At 39.6% G+C, this 21,791-nt stretch overlaps 1 long non-coding RNA gene across 1 annotated transcript; it reads left to right on the top strand.

Annotated features, from left to right (window-relative positions):
- Positions 114 to 9,446, top strand: LOC101929073 (uncharacterized). The gene is made up of 4 exons (NR_120650.1): positions 114 to 270; positions 1,463 to 1,516; positions 7,636 to 7,831; positions 9,303 to 9,446. It is a non-coding gene; the product is annotated as an uncharacterized LOC101929073 (long non-coding RNA).
- The last annotated feature ends 12,345 nt before the right edge of the window (positions 9,447 to 21,791 follow it).

Raw genomic sequence — 21,791 nt, 5'->3', positions numbered from 1 at the left:
GTGGCTAATGAGATCGCTCCCAGGGTCCAGTTCCCTTTTGCAGACTGCTAAGGAGTTTGGGGCTGGGGCTGAAGTTAAAGGCAAGAACTTCTACCCTCGGGAGGCAGCCCGTTAGTCACCAACCCTCTACTTGGTCCTTTGCAATCCTTTCCAGACCTTCTGTGGTCTCCTGTCACACAGGGCTCACCTGGGGGGACCCTGATGGCCAGATTCTCTTGAACAGTCTCTAGGGACATATTGGGTATTGCTATACCTTCATCCATTGAACAGGTGAGAACTACAACCAAAACATCCTTTGATTCTGTTAATTATCTCAATGGGTCTGTCGTTCATGTTATCTAAATGAGAATTATAGAAGAGACCAAAGAGAGGTCATCTAATCCTAATCAATGCATATCTTAAGGAAAAAATGTGATGTTAAAAATCTGTTTCAAAAGGTCATTCAGTATATTCAAGACCCTTCCTCTTAAAGTAGCTTTAAAATTTAGAAATTGGGCCGGGCGCGGTGGCTCACGCCTGTAATCCCAGCACTTTGGGAGGCCGAGGCGGCCGGATCACAAGGTCAGGAGATCGAGACCATCCTGGCTAACACAGTGAAACCCCGTCTCTACTAAAAAATACAAAAAAATTAGCCGGGCATGGTGGCAGGCCCCTGTAGTCCCAGCTACTTGGGAGGCTGAGGCAGGTGAATGGCGTGAACCCAGAAGGCAGAGTTTGCAGTGACGGAGCCGAGATCACGTCACTGCACTCCAGCCTGGGCGATAGAGCGAGACTCCGTCTCGAAAAAAAAAAAAAAAAAAATTAGAAATTGAATAGTGGACTTGTAATAGGGATTATATTGAATCAAAAGCCTAACATATATGAACAGCTTCAAATCAAGAAGTTATCTCATCAAAAACAGATCACAGCAAATATATTATTCAACATAATTATGGCCATTTGGACATACCTGGGAGATTTTAAGAATTAGAGCAACTGAGTGCTCACATGCAAAATAAAGTCACAATCTCAATAGAGACAAACAACACCCAATTAAAATACAATAGAAAAATAGATCCCATTCACAATAGAAGCATGAAAGAACATGAAATAACTAAGAATGATAAAAAATGAGAAATATAGGAGAAAAGTGGGAAAAAATTTAAAAATGCAGGATTGTTGACAGACTATTTATAATTGGAAAGACACTGGAATCCTAAGTTAGAAGACAAGATGTTAAACACATAATTACTACCTCCCAAATTAAGAGACAAATATATTCTAGAATTCATATGAAAACTACAGAAGCTAGAAGAGCTAAGTCCAGTGGTTCTCAGAGTGTGGTCTAGGGGAAATTTGTTGGGGGTCAGGGGGCGGTCTCTGAAACCATTTCGGGAGGTTCACAGGACCAAAATTACTTTAATAATAAGACTTTTTTCCACTCCTTTTTCTCTCCCATTTTTTAAATGAATTTATGATGAAGTTTTCCAGTGGCTCCATAATATGTGATATCACAACAGATTGAATGCAGAAACAGGTAACGTCTTCTGTTATGCCAGACATTAAAGAAATGTGCAAGAATATAAAATAATGCCATTCTTACCATTAAACTTTTTTGGTTTTGGAAAATACAGGTATTTTTCACTTAAAAATATGCTATTCATGTTAACATGTAATGAGCTTAGTAGTGAAATATATTTTTAAAATTTCTCAGTTTTAATTGCTATAACATAAAAGTTCTTTGGAGTCCTCAAAACTTTTTAAGAGTGTAAATAAAGGAAGGTTCTAAGACAAAAAAAATTGAGAACTTTTTTTTTTTTTTTTCTTTGAGACGGAGTCAGTCTCACTCTGTTGCCAGTCTGGAGTGCAGTAACACGATCTCGGCTCACTGCAACCTCCGCCTCCCAGGTTCAAGTGATTCTCCTGTCTCAGCCTCCCGAGTAGCTGAGACTACAGGCACCGCCACCATGCCCAGCTAATTTTTGTATTTTTAGTAGAGACAGGGTTTCACCATGTTGGGCAGGATGGTCTCGATCTCCTGACCTTGTGATCCACCCACCTCAGCCTCCCAAAGTGCTGGGATTACTGGTGTGAGCCACTGCCTCCAGCCCTGAGAACCTTTTGATAAGGCAATGAAAAAAGAAACATGTAATTAAGCTATAATAATGAAAAGAATGGCATTAACACGGAATAGAATAGTGTGTCCAATCCAACCAGCCTAAGACCATCAAGGACAAAACCTGCAGTCCCACAAAGTCAGGTTCATTGACTCAATGTTACAGTAGAGATACTGCAAACTAGAGGAACCATGAAGTGGAGTTTTGATAGGCTCAAAGCAAAGCAGAGCTGGGAGTCAACATGAGGTTTGGGCTGTGACCAAGGGTTCTGTTTCCTTGGATAAATGTGGAATGCTGTCTTGGGAAACTCCTTATCTGAAGCTCTGTACTTGAGTTGTAAATCGGGGCCATGTCTCTGTTGTCAAAGTGAGTTAGATCCTACAAGCAATTATGGGAGGTTTCATTTTTACTGACATAATTTCAAAAATCAAATTTTCTGATAGTCTATGAGCATAGGAAGCAAGATTTTCCAATGAGTTAGAAAGAAGTAGTCACTCAAAAAAGGGGACTGTTGTTGACATTTCACAGCACAGCCTGCCCTTGGAAGAAGCATGGTGTCCTGTTCATCTTACACCTGGCAATATCAACTTTTTTTTTTTTTTTAAGTTTTTGTTTTTCCTTATGTTGCTCAGGCTGGTCTCAAACTCCTGGGTGCAAGAGATCCTCTCATCTCAACCTTCTGAGTATCTGGGACTACGGGTGCGTGCCACAGTCCAGCCTCATTCCAGTTTTAACCGACTCATCTACTTCTTGGCAAAAAGACTCAGAGAAAGCAGAACTGGGCCGAGCAAGGTGGCTCATGCCTGTAATCCCAGCTACTCAGGAGGCTGGGGAGGTGGAGCAATCTCAGTGAGCGAAGATCGCGCTTCTGCACTGGATGACAAAGCGAGACTCCATCTCAAAAAAAAAAAAAAAAAAGAGAGAGAGAGAGAAAAAAAAATGAGTGCACTTGCCAGGAGCAAACTTCCACCTTGTAGACTAATGGCGTCTCATCAGTTAGCCCAGCACAAGTGACCCAGTGATCTGGGAGATCAATTAAGGGAAGAAAGATTGCTCATTCCTGCTTTCTGAGCTTCATAAACCCTACCTTGTGATATTTGTACATGAACTGCAGCCCAATCAAATTAGTTCTCAAATTTAGCCTTATCTCTCTATTCTGCTGATATTGCCTTATTTAGGCCTTCGCCATCCTAGAGTATTCCAGATGTTTCCTAATTTTTCTACTGCCTTGCCCTCTCCACTTTATAATAAGTCAAATCAAATATATTACTCAAGCCCCTTGTAGGAAGACTCCATGCATTTATGATTATGCCTGGGTGGTGACCCTCTCAGGCAAGAAAACAGAGTAAATCGCCTTTAGGTCTAAAAGTTCTCTCTTTTAAAAGTGCAAACTTTCTTTTAGTGCATTATTTCATTTTATATGCATAATGTCCCTCTTTAATGGAAATACCTGTAAGGTAGGTGTCTCTATTTACTAATAAGGAAACTGAAGGGAGGAATCAATGATTTCTCAAAGGCCACCATCTTAGTAATCACCTCTTTATCACACTAAATTCCAAAAGTTACCACCTCTGTAAATGCTCAAATTAGAGTTTGATTCTCACAGAGCTATCAAGGATGAAAACATGATGCTTCAAATGATCTAAACCCCACTGAACTAGCTTCCCAGTGATGGGCCAAGAATGGGCTTCGGCCTTCCTGTGTCCTAAGGACTTTCTTAGGACTTTCTCTCTTTTCTGTATCCACATTGAATTCCCACTCCCTTTTATACTTACTGAACCATTATAATCTTAGTTGTGATATGCTTGACTGTTCTTTTCCTAGGAAAATGCATTTGCCGGAGTTAGTATGATGGATATAGTAGACCACTTTTAAGGAATCCATCCCTCCATTTCTTATTCATTACTCAATTAATATTTACTGGGTACTTCTAGGTGCTGCAACTGTTCTAGGCATTGAATTTGAAACCCGTCTTTGCCACATATAACTATAAAATGTTTGGAAAATTGCCTTCTATATGTGCTGATACTCCAAGATGGAAGATTACCAATATAAGTGATATTCAGTTAAAACCTACACATTCTTTCACTACTAACCTTATCTAAATCATCTGATCATTTGCATTATTAACTTTTTAGAACACGTGGCTCAGGTGTTTTCTTGATTATTATTTTGGGCACTTTTAGCTGGTTGTGCCTTTATTGTCAGTTTTGCGGCTATCAGGACCTCAAAACATTTACATATACATACTACTCATTCAAATACATCAAAATGATCATCTTACATCTATTCAGGCAGGAGTCCAAGATTTGACTTACATAGTTGTTAGTAAAATATTCCACATTTTAAGATCTTATTGGTGGCCTCTACTTGATGTTTCTCTATTAATTTTGAACTTTTGTCATTGTTTTGCTGTTATGTTACTGTGTGGGAGGGAGGAATTGTATAATTTCACTATATAATTTAACTGAAATGTGCACTTTTGTCAAGTGTATGCAAACTGTTTCATATAGCACCTACTGCATAGGCTTTATTTTCCTACTGATCTGTACATTTCGGGCAGTGCTACAATGAATAGAATGGAAGAATAGGTCTCATTTGCTGTAGAGTGAATTTGTGTTTTTGCTATTTATTTCTTACCTTGACCTAAATTCATTTATTATCAGATACTTCCATTGAATCTCATGATTGACACAATAACATTTCAAATAATTGTTATTAGAATGTAAATATTTGGTTTGGATTCTTAACTGGAAATAAAGCTGCAGATTAAAAGTAGTTTCATTCTAAAAGGTGTGTTTTCCAAGAAAACTTAATGAAGACCATAAATAAGACAAGTTTATAATCCACACATTTTGGGGATAGAGAGAAGGGACAAGCATTGAGAAAACACAGTAGGGTGTAAAACCTCTTTAAGGCTGGGAGCAGTGTCTCACGCCAGTAATCCCAGCACTTTGGGAGGCTGAGACAAGCGGATTGTTTGAGCTCAGAAGTTTGAGACCAGCCTGGGCAACATGGCGAAACCCCATCTCCAGCAAAAAATACAAAAAATTAGCCAGGCATGGTGGTGCATGCCTGTAGTCCCAGCTACTCAGAGGCTGAGGTGGCAGGATAACTTGAGCCTGCTAGTTGCAGTGAGCCAAGATCATGCCACTACACTCCAGTCTTGGTGACAGAGTGAGACTCTTATCTAAAAAAAAAAAAAAAAAAAAAAACCTCTTTAAAAAGTAAAGTGGATGTGGGCCGGGTGCGGTGGCTCACGCCTGTAATCCCAGCACTTTGGGAAGCTGAGGCGGGTGGATCACGAGGTCAGGAGTTCGAGATCAGCCTGACCAACATGGTGAAACCCCATCTCTACTAAAAATACAAAAATTAGCCAGGTGTGGTGGCACACACCTGTAATCCCAGCTACTCGGGAGGCTGGGGCAGGAGAATCGCTTGAACCCAGGAGGCAGAGGTTGCAGTGAGCCAAGATTGTGCCATTGCACTCCAGCCTGGGTGACAGAGCGAGACTTCGTCTCAGAAAAAAAAAAAAAAGTAAGGTGGATATGTGCAGTGGCTCAGGCTAGCCAGCCTGCAGGACCACCTTTGGGAGGCCAGAGCAGGAAGATCCCTTGAGGCCAGGAGTTTGAGACCAGCCTGGGCAATATAGCGAGACCTCATCTCTACAATAAAAAATTTTAAAAATAAAGATAAAAAGAAGTAAAGGTAGGTATTTGACATCTTTTCTTCAAAATATTTACAGCTAACATGGCTTTTTAAAAATCTGATCTTTACTGTGAGTTTTTCTTATTTTTGTTTTTCAGCCCTCTTTGTATTGCAGCAATACTAGCAGTCTATCTTTATACTCCTGTATTTTCCTTTGTGGAGTATATTGGGTTGGAGGCTAGAAGGCATGATGAGAATGAAAGGTTATTTGAACATCATTTACTCCAACTCCCTGTTTTATGGAGTAGGACATTTGGGGTTAATTCATCTGCCTAAGGTCATATGTCAAGGTAGTGGCACAGCCAAGGTCTCAAAGAGAGCCCTGGCTTTTCTTTGTGCACGTGTTCTTGCCCAGATATTCCACTCATGTTCTGATTAATATTAGGGTAGTAGGGCTTGGGCTACTGGAAACTCAAGTTGGGAAGGTAACTGTGATGGTCCTACAAATAGATTCAATTTGCTACAGTGTCTATTGTTAAGCTTATACTCATGGACCACAACTCAGTTTCTGCAGGGAACAAAGACAGATACCCTTATACCAATGGTGTAGAATCCTGCTTGTAAAGGATCAGTACCTAGAAAAAGAATTAAGAAAATAAGTCATTTCTTATTTTGTTCATTCGAAAATATGGCTCAAGAGCTTCTTGTACGCCAGGTGTTCTAAGTGTAGGGAATATGATAACCCAAAAAATTGTCAACAATCTCTGCCTTTAAGCAAATTGTGTTCTAGTTGTGGAGACAAAATAAATCAGCAAATAAGTAAAATATACTGCATTTTATTTTTATTTAATTAATTTATTTTTTGTGACAGAGTCTTGCTCTGTCGCCCAGGCTGGAGTGCAGTGGCAAGATCTCGGCTCACTACAACCTCTGCCTCCTGGGTTCAAGCAATTCTCCTGCCTCAGCCTCCCGAGTAGCTGGGACTACAGGTGCACACCACCACACCTGGCTAATTTTTTTTTTTGTATTTTTAGTAGAGACAGGGTTTCACCATATTGGCCAGGCTGGTCCCTAACTCCTGACCTCAAGTGATCCGCCCGCCTCAGCCTCTCAAGGTGCTGGGATTACAGACATGAGCCACCACACCCGGCAAATGTACTGTATTTTAGTTGTTGATAAATGTGAAAATAAATAGAACAGGGAAAGGGGATAAATAGTGGGTGAAGCGGTGGAGGCTGCAATTTTCAGCAGGACAGGGAGGGCAGGGTCCACGGCAAAAGTGACAGTTGGGCCCTAGAGGAATTAGAATGTGAGGTGAGGCTGGGGGACGGAACCTGTGGAGCACAGAGGCTACTTTGAAACCATGGAGGTGCAGCGTGTCGTGGAGGAGGAGTGTATCCTCTGAAGCACGCCGATCTCCAGAGATTCCTTCCTTACTCCCTCTTTGCTCCAGCCAGTGGAAGTATGGCTGGTGTGAGAGTTTACCTTCTGACCAGAACTGTCTCAAGAATTTAGGAATTCTTGTTGCAAGAATGTTGCAAGTGCTTGTAATAAGTAGAAGAGGAATAGAAGGAAGGAATTAAGAGCTGGAAGCTCCCTGGTGGGGATTCTGAGCTTGTATAACACAGTTAACATTGTTCCCCTTGAGGATATTCTTCATTTATCAGCATCATGCAGAATGTCACCATTCAGGAGTTGAATTGTGAATTCAATTAAGTAGTGATTTGGGTGTTCCTAGGTAGATATACTCACAATATGGTAGAGTTGAAAAAATGATGGAGATAAAAACAATTTTGGAGGGAAGTGGTCTGAAAATACAGAGCAAAGTTCTTGTTTTCCATTTAGTTACCAGGTATTTTGTAAACCTTATGCATGACCTTTGTATTTACAGAACAAATGAAGCATCCATTAACTTCGAATGATCAGATGCTAGGGTGTGAGGAATTTTCAGGCCAAAATGCACTGGGTTATTGTCTCCTATTGACAGTGTGATATTACAGATAACCTCTAGGAGATCCTGAACATATTCAGGCTAAACCAGGCAAACAAACATTCAGGATGTTACCAGTGTGGAAAACCCCTAGGAGGTAAGTATGGCAGGGAATCAGTCTGAGAAAGAGGGTAAATCGAATGAAGCTATTTTGGTTATAAAAGTGCTGCGAATGTATGAGAGTACTTCAAAACTACTCTCTATGCTACAAAAGCCAATAAGTTTAGTTATGCAGTTCCTTTTGTGTCATTACATTTCAATAGAGTTTATTTAGTTTTGTTTCTGTTTCACCTATGAAATGTGTATTAGTCAGGATTCTCCAGAGAAACAGAACCAATAGAATATATGTAGATATATAAAAAGGGATTTGTTATAAGGAATTAGATTGTGCAATTTTGGAGGCTGAAAAGTCCCACCATCTGCCGTGGAAAACTGGTGGTATAGTTTCAGTCTAAGCCCAAAGGCCTGAGAACCAGGAGAACCCGTGGTGTAAGTCCTGACTTCTGAGACCCAAGAACCAGGAGCTATGATGTCCAATGTCCCAGGGCAGGAGAACATGCATGTCCCAGATCAACATGAGAGAGATAATTCACCTTTCCTCTTTGTTCTCTGTAGGCCTTCAATAGATTGGCTAGTGCCCACCTACATTGCTGAGGGCAGTCTCTTTATTCAGTCTACTGATTCGAATGTTAATTTCTTCTGCAGACATTCTCACAAACACACCCAGGAATAATGTTTTACCAGCTACCTGGCTATCTGTTTAGCCCAGTCAAATTGACACATGAAACTAACCATCACAAAACTCAACTCTTATTTTAAGATAGCAGCTTTAAAAAAATTTACTATACACATTTAATTAAATTTATTTTCAGTTTACCTCTCAGTTGTACTACTTACTAGCTGTGTTACAATGAGTACAACATTTAGGGTTTCTGCACCTTGATTTAGTTCTCTAGAAAATGGTGAGTACTACTATTGTCTACATCACAGAATTATTTTGAGGATTAAATAAAATTAAAATTATAAGGGCTGAGGACATTACATGGCATATAATACATAATTATTACATATTAGCTATAATTATTACTGTTGTGTCATCATTATTATAATTACCATCATTTTCTCACAGAAGCATTTCAGGGCTGTTATTACAAAACTCTTTCCCTTGTGTTTCCAATATGCCAACTATTTCAATCAAGAAAATTAATAGCCTATGGAAAGACAGTGGCCTTTGTCATCACTACGATTGATTCTATTAAATGTATTAAAAGTAATGGCAAAAACCCCAATTACTTTTGCACCAGCATAAAATCACTAGGTGCATGAATTTTGCATAATTCTTTTAATTTCTCAGAACCTTGATGTTTCTCATTTGTTCAACCAGGTAGATATTATTAATCCCTTCAAAGAGATGTGAAGAACAAAGTTCAGAAATGTTAAGGACGGTAAACGATATCATATTTAAGGGCTTGGCACTTCGTTGACTCGATAAATAGTAGCTACTACTTTGAGCTATTATTCCCTTTCATGAAAATCCTCCTACTAAAACTATGTGCTTCTTCCAACAGAGACAGCCAAAATTAAGACTGATGGAGAAATTTCCCCCAGCAATACCACTTAAAAATATGTATTTTTTACTTTAATTGCCTGGTATTAAGTTTTCTGCAGGAATACAAATAAAATTGCTTGTATGGCTTTGAGAAACTACAGTTTTTTGCTAACCATATTCTTTGCTTGAATGAAGATTCTGAATTATATAAATGAATCCTGTCTTCCTGACGTAGATGATTAAATGTAGCAAAATAGCTACGCACAGCAACTGCCTGGCTCCTTTTTGACACTAACACACCTAGGGGTCTGGTTCTGTCACTGGGGAGTGCCACAGACTCAAGTTCTACCAGAGCAGGACGCAGTGTTGTCACTCAGGAACTTGGGCTGAGCCAGCTCTATCACATTTCCTATGATCGATCTCATCAACCCTGAAAGGCAGGCTGGTGCCCCTGAACAGCTCCAGATTTCAAACCTGATCCATCGCTTCTAATGAGGAATCATAGGAACAACTAAAGGTGGATCATATAATAAATGAAAAAAATCTATTTGAGAAAATAATTGCATTTTCCCTTGGCAATTCATTACTGCTAAAACTTCCTTCTTTGACAGCAACTTCCGTAATACTGCACATTGGGGGCAGGAGGAGGAAGAAGAGGAAAAAAGGAGGGAAAAATCAACACAGAAAATAATTATTGCATATCTCACTCCAAATCAAACTTCCTTCAACACCAAAGGAAGGATATCAAGGAATTACATAAAGGTCATTTAATGACCATGAAATAGAATTTTTAGAGCAACATGACTCAGGGTAAACTTGTGATTCGCAATATAATTAGCCTTCCCTATGGTTACAATAGTTAATTAATCGGCCAAGAGTTCTGAACATGTGCATTTGTGGAAGAATTTTGTTCCCTTTGATTTAAGCAAATAGCAATAAAACTACCAATCTGCATTCTTTTTGAGCGTTCATGGGGCTGAAAAGAAAGCATAGCTTTGTCCTCCCCATTGCAAACTAACTTCTGGTTTCAAAATTTTGCAAAAGTCTTTGCCATGTAATGAATTCACTGGATTCTGAAGCATCCAGTGATGGGATGGTGCGAGTTGTCTCGGTAGCATTAAATTATACATTCACCCAAAGCTGGGGTAAAGTGATCCCACAGAGTTTGCTAAAATATTTACATTGCCAATTAGTGTAATGGGGGCACTAGATTCTGTACAAGATAGCTTTGTTTGAAAAGCAGGAAAACCAGTTAAGTAAATGTAAAAACAGAACAAAACAAAAAGAACAAAATACATCTTTGTAAAGAAGTTAGAAAATGTTTTCAGAGTCACTGACTCATTTCTTTTTCACCCAAACCCACCAGGAATTTACATCTTTCAGCATTTGGTCTATGATGCTTATAAACAAATACAGGGGCATCTTTCAGGCAAAGCAAATCATAGTAAATAATTTTAGCGCCTTGTTGTAGGGGCTTTTGCCATTGTTGGTACTAGGCAGAGTCCAGATTGGATGGGTGATAGGTGGGAGGATAAATATTGAGAATGATTGCTTCCAGTGGTGCCAAAGAGAAGTTGAAGCTGAAATGTACATCTGCATGCTGCAAGGTTGCCATGTCCTCATCATCTTCAAGAAAAAGAGTGGAACTACCCTAGTCCCTTCCATATACATTTGTCCTTCTGAAATTTTTTTACTGTGACAGTCAAGATACAATTAATTGTCATTTCAATGAGTTTATCTGAAAAAAGAAACAAGCATAATGAACACTAACCCTGTACCATATGTCTGCTAGGCCCTTTGCATACGTCATTTAACTTAATCCTCACAAGAACCCTACTGGAGGCTGGGTGCAGTGGTTCATACCTGTAATCCCAGCACTTTGGGAGGCTGAGGTAGGAGAATCATTTGAGGTCAGGAGTTTGAGACCAGCCTCGGCAACATAAAGAACATAGAGAGATCCTATCTTTACAAAAACAAAAAAACAAACAAACAAAACTTAGTAGGGTGTGGTGGCACACACCTTAGTCCCAGCTCCTTAGGAGGCTGAGGCAGGAGGATCACTTGAGCCCAGGAATTTGAGGCTGCAGTAAGCTAAGGATTGTGTCACTACACTACAACCTGGACAACAGAGTGAGACCCGGTTTGTTTGTTTGTTTTTTGAGATGGCGTCTTGCTCTGTTGCCCAGGCTGGAGTGCAGGGGGGCAATCTTGACTCACTGCAAGCTCCGCCTCCCAGGTTCACACCATTCTCCTGCCTCAGCCTCCCGAGTAGCTGGGACTACAGGCACCCGCCACCACGCCCGGCTAATATTTGTATTTTTTTAGTAGAGACGGGGTTTCACTTTGTTAGCCAGGATGGTCTCCATCTCCTGACATCGTGATCTGCCCGCCTCGGCCTCCCAAAGTGCTGGGATTACAGGCGAGAGCCACCACACCCGGCCGAGACCTGGTCTTAAAAAAAACAAAAACGATAAAGGGTAGAAAAAAATTGGCATTTCCATTTTACAGATGACTAAAGTAAGGCTAAGAGGGCTTAAGTAACTAACTCAAGGTAGCACTGTTTATAAGAGGTGGACCCAAGCAGTGAGAAGCAATTTTTATGCAGTTATACTTTATAGAGCATGGCATGTGTAGAAGACTTGCCTTATCATAAAAGCTGCCTAAAATAATACATTCTAATCACATAACTTTGGTGTTTAGATACTTTGTTTACAGACAGGTAAGAAATGGAGTACATTGATATGCCAGCTTGGTTGATTGTCTTTTAAAGATGTGGTAAAATATGTATGACATAAAATTTACCATCTCAACTATTTGTAAGTTTACAGTTTAGTGTTATTAAGTACATTCATATTGTGCTACCATCACCGCCATACATCCACAGAACTCTTTTCATTTTTGCAAAACTGAAACTCTGTACTCATTAAACACTAACTCCCATTCCATTCTACTCTTGAGCCCCTAGCAACCCCATTCTACTTTCTGTCTGTATGAATTTTACTGCTCTAACCTTATATTAGTGGAATCACACTGTATTTGTCGTTTTTTGACTGGTTTATTTCATTTAGCATAATGTCCTCAAGGTTCATCAATGTTGTAGCATTTATCAGAACTTCCCTCCTTTTCAAGGCTGAGTAATATTCCATTGTAGGTATGCATTCAAACACAAACTCACATTTTGTGTATGTATTCATTTGTCAGTGGACACATGGGTTGCTTTTTTTACCATTTGGCTATTGCGATCAATGCTGCTGTGAGCCTGGGTGTACCAATATCTCTTCAAGTCCCTGCTTTCGGTCCTTTTTGATATATTCCCAGGAGTAGAATTGCTGGAGCAAATGGTAATTCTATTTGTAATATTTTGGGGAACCACCACAATATTTTCCATAGTGGCTGTATCACTTCACATTCCCACCAATAATGCACAAGAGTTCCAATTGCTCTACATTTTCACCAACACTTGTTATTTTTTTATTTATATTTTGTTTGCTTTTTTTTATAGTAGCCATCCTAAGGATGTGGGGTTGGTTGTCTTTTTTTTTTTTTTTTTTTTGACTGAGTCTTGCTCCGTCGTGCAGGTTGGCGTGCAGTGGCGTGATCTTGGCTCACTGAAACATCTGCCTCCTGGGTTCAAGCAATTCTCCTGCCTCAGCCTCCCGAGTAGCTGGGACTACGGGTGCATGCCACCATGCCTGGCTAATTTTTTGTGTTTTTAGTAGAGAAGGGGTTTCACCGTGTTAGCCAGGATGGCCTTGATCTCCTGACCTCGTGATCCGCCCATCTCAGCCTCCCAAAGTGCTGGGATTACAGGTGTGAGCCACTGCGCCCAGCCGGTTGTCTTTTAATGCACAGGTTTGCTTCTGCATAAAAAGGTAGGAGACTTTGTAGATATCCAAAAATATCTTCCCATTTACTTATCACTGAACCTGAAATTCTCTGCAATGTATGAGTCATTAAAGGCCCTCAAGAGAATGCAGATTAATTATTAATTATTCATAGCATTTGTATAATTCTTTTCATATATGTTTAATCCTTACAACGTCTCTTTGAGGTCAATATTATTATCCCCATGTTAGACATAAGGAAACTGATGCCTGTCTTATTCATGAACTAGAAGATTCAAACCTAGATCCCTGGCTCTAAATTCTGGATTGTTCCACACCTAGGGGATGAAGGTAGTTGGGAAGCATGTTACAAGAAGAAGCTATTGTCACTGGTAAAAATTATTGGATTGTAGGTAGTTGGGGTTTGAGGTTACAGTGAGCTGTGGTAGCTATGGTAGTGCCACTGCACTCCAGCCTGGGTGAAAGAGTGAGACCCTGTCTCTAAAAATAAAACATAAATTTATTGGATTGATAGAAGAGCGCAGACCCTGAGGGAATGGGAGGCATGATTATTGCTAATTGAAAACTTTTCCAAATACCTTGCCCTGATGACTTGCAATACAATCACGTTGGTAATTGTTGTCAGTCTCTATAAAGATTGAAAAAAAGACAAAAAAGTGAAGCCTTTAGTAATGTTTGACATTCTAGTAATGTGATTTAAAAAAATACCTTCAAAGCTAGTATTCTGAGATTCGCTAGCCAGGAAGAAATGAAATGACCAGAAATTATCACCCCCGTCATTTGCTTCTTATCTGATCAATTGACAGTAAGAGAACTTAAATATTGACAACCATTTAGTAACCCAACAATTCTGTTAATAAAATAATTTGGAAGAATAGAATAGTCACACGTTAAATAATTCAGACATGAGACTAAACTAGGAACATGAATAAATAGAAAAATATAAAAAAGAGTATGGAAATAAGCTTTAGAATGATCTAACACAACCAGACATCTCTAATAAAATTTTCTTCATGTACCTTACCCATTTCAAAACATTTCTTAGTTGACGTGGTAGAAGTGCAAGTGGTGACTGTAATTCATACATTCAACATGACTTCTAAATAAAAGTTTAAAACCAAATAAACTACCAAGATCATGCTCTATCTGTAGGGATAGCACATTAGCCGTTATAGTTTGTTATAAAAAATATTGCGAATTAGGTATTACACAATATCAAGAATGGAACCTAATTTAAAAGTCTTCAAATTAGGGCGAGGCACAGTAGCTCACGCCTGTAATCCTAGCACTTTGGGCGGCCGAGGCTTGTGGATCATCTGAGGTCAGGAGTTTGAGACCAGCCTGGCTAACATGGTGAAACCCCATCTCTACTAAAAATACAAAAAAAAAAAAAAAAAAAAGAAAATTAGCACAAAGGCTGCAGTGAGCCGAGATCACACCACTGCACTCCAGCCTGGGCGACAGCGAGACTCCGTCTCAAAATAAATAAATAAATAAATAAATAAATAAATGTCTTCAAATTAAAAAGAGATAGTATTGCTTTTGATGAGTGTGATATGGAAGATTATTTCCATGGTTCATTATACTCACCTGGAGAACTACCTAAGCAAATGTTACCTGACTCTCTGGCTCATAGAGGGAAACCCAATTCCAGGACAGTCCTGGAAATTCAGATACAAACTCTGCTCACCCCCACCAAGGGATTGACTCTGGTTAATGGTGACCCTGGAGAGTCTGACAACTCTAAAAGTGATCCTTGATCACACAGATCCTAAAAGGATCAAATTTGATTAAAGTGCTTCTGAAATGCAGGTCTTGAAAAGCCTCAGAATACAAGAACAGGAATGTTTTCTTGCTGTTCTCACGAAATATCTCCAAAATTACACATACATACATACATACATACACAGAAATATAGGCAATCCAGAAGATTTTATTTATAAAATGAATTTCATTGTGTGTATATACACATATAGAGAGAGGTATATATAGGTGTATATATATGTATATATAGGTATGTGTACCTCTATATACCTATATATACATACTGAGATGATTCCTATTTCACTCAATGTCACAGATATTTTTAGAATAAATGAATGATCAAGGAGAAAGATTAGCCAAGGAAGACTTTCAAACAGTCTGATGATAAAGGAAATAAGTGAGGCCAGGTGTGGTGGCTCATGCTTGTAATCTCAGCACTTTGGGAGGCCTAGGTGGGTGGGTCACCTGAGGCCAGGAGTTCAATACAAGCCTGCCCAAGATGGTGAAACCCCATATCTACTAAAAAATACAAAAATTAGCCGTGTGTGGTGGCACACACCTGTAATCCCAGCTACTCGAGAGGCTGAGGCAGGAAGAATGGTTTGAACCTGGGATGTGGAGGTTGCAGTGAGCCAAGATTGCGCCACTGCACTCCAGCCTGGGCAACAGAGGGAGACTCTGCCTCCAAAAAGAAAAAAAAAAAAAAAGTGAGAGGTAGCAACAAAGTGAGAGGTAGCAACATCAGAAAGGCTTTTTTTGTGGGGCTTGTAGATATCAGAGCAAGAGAAAGGCATCTAGAAGAGAAGCAACTGCAGATCAAGCACTGATCTATCTTTGAAAAAAATAGTGTCTATTAAGCACGCATATTATGCCCTGTGCTACTAGTTTTTCATGTTTTTTTAGAACAACACATGAGGCACATGAACTTTCTTACTTCCTTCACTGGTACCTTTCAAACAGCTCTAGTCCCATTGAATTAGAATTTTACTTTTATTTGTGTGTCTCCTCAAAGGCAGATCTCATCATTTATTCATTTTTGTGTCCTTGGTACTTTAATACAGGATAGAAGTTCTGATTGGTGAATGAATAAGTGACTGGATAAAGAGAAAGGGAGAAGAGGAAGAAGCAATGAAGCGAATCCAGGGGAAGGCAAACAGAGCAAGCTCATGAACACATAGGCGCTGATAGCCTGGAAAGGTAGTATTCATCTTCAGTGACACAGATGTAAGACCTAGAGAGTAAATATATGGGAAAACTTTGAAATGGGGAGATGAACATAAAGCGAAGGCAGGCCAGTGCAGCACAGTGCCATTCAGTACAGTAAGTGGGTACACACTGAGAGAGTGTGTATATATGCACAGATGTGGGCAGGGCCAGGGTCTCCTGGCAAAGAGGAGTTAGTAACAAGGGAAGAGTGAAGACAATGTGGCTGCCCGTGAAGAAAGTGTGATGGGCAGTAACCGGAGTAATCTCAATCACTGGGGCTCAAATCTTTTCTCCCACTATAATTGGCAATTCAAGAATTGGAATAGAAATGCCATAAAGAGGATATTACACGTGATTAGAAATTGGCAAAGTGAAAAGTGCAGACACCAAGGAAGGGACCAAGTGGAGGTTGGAGACGAGTGTACTGGGGAATGGCAGGCTGTGGAGACCAGTCTGGGGAGATGGGGGGCCAAAACATCAACCAACGCTAACCCAGATTTCCTTCCATCCTTTCTAATTTGGTTCTTTTGTGTGCCTGTGTGATTGGCCAGTGCTAGAAACTCTCAGGTGTGTGCTCTTTCCTAAAAGCAGCCAGATCCGCTTTCATAACCTAGCTGATTAATTTCCAGATGGTGTTTTATCCTAAGGAGTCAACATTCATTGCAGAAACTGCTATCCTTAACCCAAACCACAGGCTATGCAGAGGCAGAACAAATCTAGCAGCAGGAGGGAGGCTGACTCCCAGGATGTGTGTGTGGCCAAGCACTATCCCTTCATCAAATCACCACCATCTGGCTCTCAAGATTGATCTGTGGTCCCCAGGTTTCCTTAGCAATAGGAAAAACCAACAGCGAGGAGATTTCTGGTCTCCCTTCTGGAGTGAAGTACACAGAAAAACATAACAAATATAAAGTTCAACTAAATCCACTCAGTGAAAACTATTATAGTTCCCACTAGAGACTGTGAACCGTCCACTTACAATACTAATACATCCACAGAGAAGGCACTGCAAATCGTGACCAGCCAGCATGAGTGGCTCACATATATTGACATTAATATGCAATATATATTTGTCTTGTAAGAGTTAAAGAAAAAAGAGGGAAACACAAAAAACAGCTCAACAGTCAAAGACAGGTTTATTTTGGAGAATAAACCTGAGAGGGGCTTCTGGCCAGTTTCAGTTAGGTGTGCTGTCTCTTACAGACAAGAGTAGTTAAGGGTTTTAGGGTGAGAGAGCTCATCACAGGCTTGGAATGTTTCTGTGTGGGGGAGAAATTTATTGCGGGGTTGGAATGTCTCTGTTTGGAGGGGAGGTTATCTTGAGGCTGACATCTCTCTGGCCAGAAGGGAGGTTATCTCAGGGTGGGTATGTCTCTGGTCGGGGAGGGGTTTATTTTAGGGTTGGAATGTTTCTGGTTGGAGATGTCATTTGTGGTTTATGGTCATGCTGGCCTTAACCATTAGGCTGATGCCCTTTGGATTTAGGCGGTTTTTGATCAAGGGTAACTTTAAAATGGCCGTGCTTGTCCAAGGTGGTGATGCTCCTGTTCTGTTATGTCTGAGGTGACATATTATTTCTTCCACTTCTGCGATTGAAAACTGTCTTCCAGGTTCTTAAACACTTTGCACATTTAATATCTGACATCTGAGTCTTTCTGGAAGTAAATATAAGAAATTACTGCACTTGGCACCTTGATCCAGGATACTATAGCTTACTTTTTTCTAAACCGTTTTTCTTTTCTTTCTTTTCTCTTTTTTTTTTTCAAGACAGGGTCTGGCTCTGTTGCCTAGGCTGGAGGGCAGTAGCAGGATCATAGCTCACTGCAGGCTCAACCTCCGAGGCTCAAGCGATCCTCCCACCTCAACCTCCCTAGTAGCTGGGACTACAGGTGCATGCAAAACCATTTTTGTGCTGACAGTTGCCTGACTCAAATACATTTGATACCACTGCTAGCAATGCATGAGCAACTGAGCAAAGCAAAATGCATCTGATCAGAGGCCATTTTCCGTTAGCAATTCACCTTGCACAACTCTCAATGTCTCATTTTCTTTTCCCTTTTCTTTAGGTTTTATTCATATTTTTCTTTAAAATGTTTTGGCACCTTAGTAACCCCATAATTGTTCTCAAACAGCATATATTTATTTATCTCTTATTAATATGACTCGTGTCTTCAGCACTGTGTTAGTTTCTGTGATGAACAGAAACGAAGTAGATGAAACGGCTCTTGCCTTCAAGTAGTTAATATTTATCTGTTATATTTTGAAGAGCGTGATAGAAGAACTTAATAACTGCCATTTCAGTGATTTATAGTTAAGTGCTTTCTTGTACATTTTTTTTTTCCTTCTAACAGTCTTATGGGGAGCTCTTGATGGAACCAAGTTTCAAATGCAGTTGTTTGGATTCTAAATCCTTTAATCTTTTTAGTATACCACAGATAAATTGGGAAAAAATCATGCAATTTCCAGACTCAGGTTTCACTCTGGGTTTAGCACTTATTGTTGATCATGGGTACACAAATTCTGTTTCTTTGTTTGAAAAATGAAAAGAATAAATCCAGTCCTAACATTTTTTTTTGCTTTTTTCTTTTATTGTGAAGACCCAATAAAAGAGCATTTATAAAACCATTCTGACAGTCACAATATAAACAGGAAACATCATTATATACCATGGTTTTCTTATTTTATATAGAGGGAACACCGAATGTTTGTTTACATACCAAGAAATAAAATGGAAACTTGGCAGATACTCTCCCCAAGAGACTTCTGCATCATTTCCTTGTTTTTTGCTTCTGGAATAGAAGGGCACAACATTTTCTTCTCCAAGACCTCATACTTATACCAGAAATAGGAGACTTGCTTGGTGGCAGGTATGGTTGCTTCCTGCTAATATGCCATTAGGGCAAAAGACATTGCATAACACATACGTGCACATCCCAGACATACAGTGTCAAGGAATATTCAGGAAGAAAATACATGTAAGTGCTGCATTCTCATTATTGAGTGAAGAATAGAGTTTTAGCTCAATTCTTAGTTTTTTTGAGTGACAGGTTTGTAAGTCACACGCTTACCAAATTGAAAGGAAAGGGAGTTATTTTTAAACTACAGTAGTAAGATATTCTGAAGCCACTGTTGGGCTCTATAATTCTTGCAAAATATTTCATTTAAAACATTTTCTTTTCAAAAGGCCGATTTTCTGAAAATACAATTACCCATAAGTACAGGAATGCATCAGTTTATTGTGCTTTGCTTTTCTGTACTTTGCAGAGGTTGCATTTATTACAAATTGAAGGTTTGTGGCAACCCAGTGTCAAGCAAGTCTATTGGCACCATATTTTCAACAGCATGTGCTCACATCTTGTCTCTGTGTCACATTTTGGTAATTCTCAAGATATTTCAAGCTTTTTCATTATTATTATGCCTCTTATGGTCATGTATAATCAGTTTCCTTTGATGTTACTGTCGCAGTTGTTTTGGGGTTTGCCCACATAAGACAGCAAACTTAATCAATAAATGTTGTGTGTGTTCTGACTGCTCTACCAACCAGCTGTTCCCCCATCTTTCTCCTTCTCATTGGGTTTCCTTATTTTCTGAGACAAAACAACACTGACAGTTTGCTGCTTATGTCTGCTCCCTGTGCCCAGGGTTCAGCCACCTACAGAGAGGACTGGAGCAGGAATTTGTAAGCAATTATAATCTAAGTCCAATTAGCTATAAACTACATTTATTTGTATTATTTTACTTCATTTTATTTATATATGTATATCATTTTACTTTATATATACATATATTACATATTTACACATATATTTACATATATGTACATATAAAGTTAAATAACATACATATGCAAATATGCAAATGTATATATTTACATATAAATATGTAAATGTATGTGTGTACATGTATTTATACATATATGTGTATGTATATTTATAGCCCAGGCTGGTCTCAAACTCCTAGGCTAAAGCAATCCTTCCACCTCAACTTCCCAAAGTGCTGGGATTACAGGTGTGAGCCACTGTGTCTGAATTTTCTTTTAATATAAAGTCCCAATTACAGTTTTATTTATCAGTTAGCAGCTTGTTTTTGTCATTTACCATAAAGTTTTGCTCCTAATTTTAAGAGAAATAAACCTGAAAGTCTGTTATATACCAGTTACCCTCCATTAGGGTCTTTTATTACCATGTGCCAAGCAGCATCCTAGGAATTTTACATGAATAGACATCTTGAAATAACATTTAAAGCTCAGAGAGATTATGCAATTTGCAGAGTTGAGCGAAGATTCAAACCTAGGACTTGTTTAACCATTGTACGAGGCCACCTCTCAATGTTAAGGGTAATAGACCACTGCTCCCTTATATGCTGTCTTCTACAGCCTCTGCTGTTTAAATACATTTACATCCTACTATAACTTTCATTTTTGTTGTAAAAAGAAGATTGTGCTACCTGTTTTTGGAAACATGCTGCCACTGTTTGGAATGTTGGGAAACTTTGCCACATTGCCAGACTTAAATTCCTTTGACACCCAGGAAGATTTGCTTTTACAAAGCTTCCACTATCAGACTCTGTCATGCATCAAAGATTCATCATGACCTTTGACATCTAGCTAGTAGATTGGACATCTAGCTTGGAAATGAGCTGGCATCCACTACAAAGCCTGGTTCTGCAGCCTTCACAGAAACACGAAATGGGGGTCCCCTCTTGCACTGTCGCTAGTTCCTCTGCTGGGAAACATCTCATGAGTAGAATCACAGCAGGGAGCCTGCTCTGGAACTGCAGCATCAGCCATAGCACAGCAGCCTGTGATAGAAAGACATGGTAGTTGGAAATGATGTGATCCTTGTCCCATATAAAATGGGAGGGCAGATTATGTGGACAAGAATTTAGAACATATTCAGTTTAAATGAAACCATAATTGACATAGGCTACTGAAAAATATAATGTACTTGCACAATTTATTTTTGGAGGAATCTGTAAAAATTGCACACACACACACTCTCATGCAGCGATTTCTTTTCAAAGTGCTCTAGCGACAATAATTGCAAACGGAGGCTGGGCATGGTGGCTTATGCCTATAATCCCAGCACTTTGGGAAGCCGAGGTGGTTGGATCACTTGAGGTTAGGAGTTCAAGACCAGCCTGGCCAACATGGCAAAACCCTGTCTCTACTAAAAATACAAAAATTAGCCGAGCGTGGTGACACACTCCTGCAGTCCCAGCTACTCAGGAAGCTGAGGCAGGAGAATCGCTTGAACATGGGACGGGAAGGTTGCAGTGAGCCAAGATTGTACCACTGCACTCCAGCCTGGATGATAGAGTGAGACTCTGTCTGAAAAAAAAAAAAAAGAATTGCAAATGGAAGAATGAGAATTTAAAACTGAGGTAGGTGGCTGGGCATTGTGGCTTGCCTGTAGTCCCAGCTCAAGAGGCTGAGGAAGAAGAATCCCTTGAGCCCAGAGTTCAAGGCTGCAGTGAGCTGTGATTGCACGACTGCACTCCAGCCTTGGTGACAGAGTGAAACTCCATCTCTTAAATACATAAATACATAAAGTTATGGAGGTGAGCTTAGAATAACCACAGAGATAGAATGCAGACAGTTTGAATTAGTGAGAATTTTTTTCTTGTTCATTTTATTGTTTTCAGCCATCAGTATGTTATTTGCACTCATGTGTGAAGACTTGTACACGGTATTT

Source organism: Homo sapiens, chromosome 10, assembly GCF_000001405.40.
Source record: "Homo sapiens chromosome 10, GRCh38.p14 Primary Assembly".
Lineage (NCBI taxonomy): Eukaryota > Metazoa > Chordata > Mammalia > Primates > Hominidae > Homo > Homo sapiens.
The sequence above is the reverse complement of the archived record's forward strand: the minus strand, read 5'-3'. Positions and strand labels throughout refer to the sequence as shown.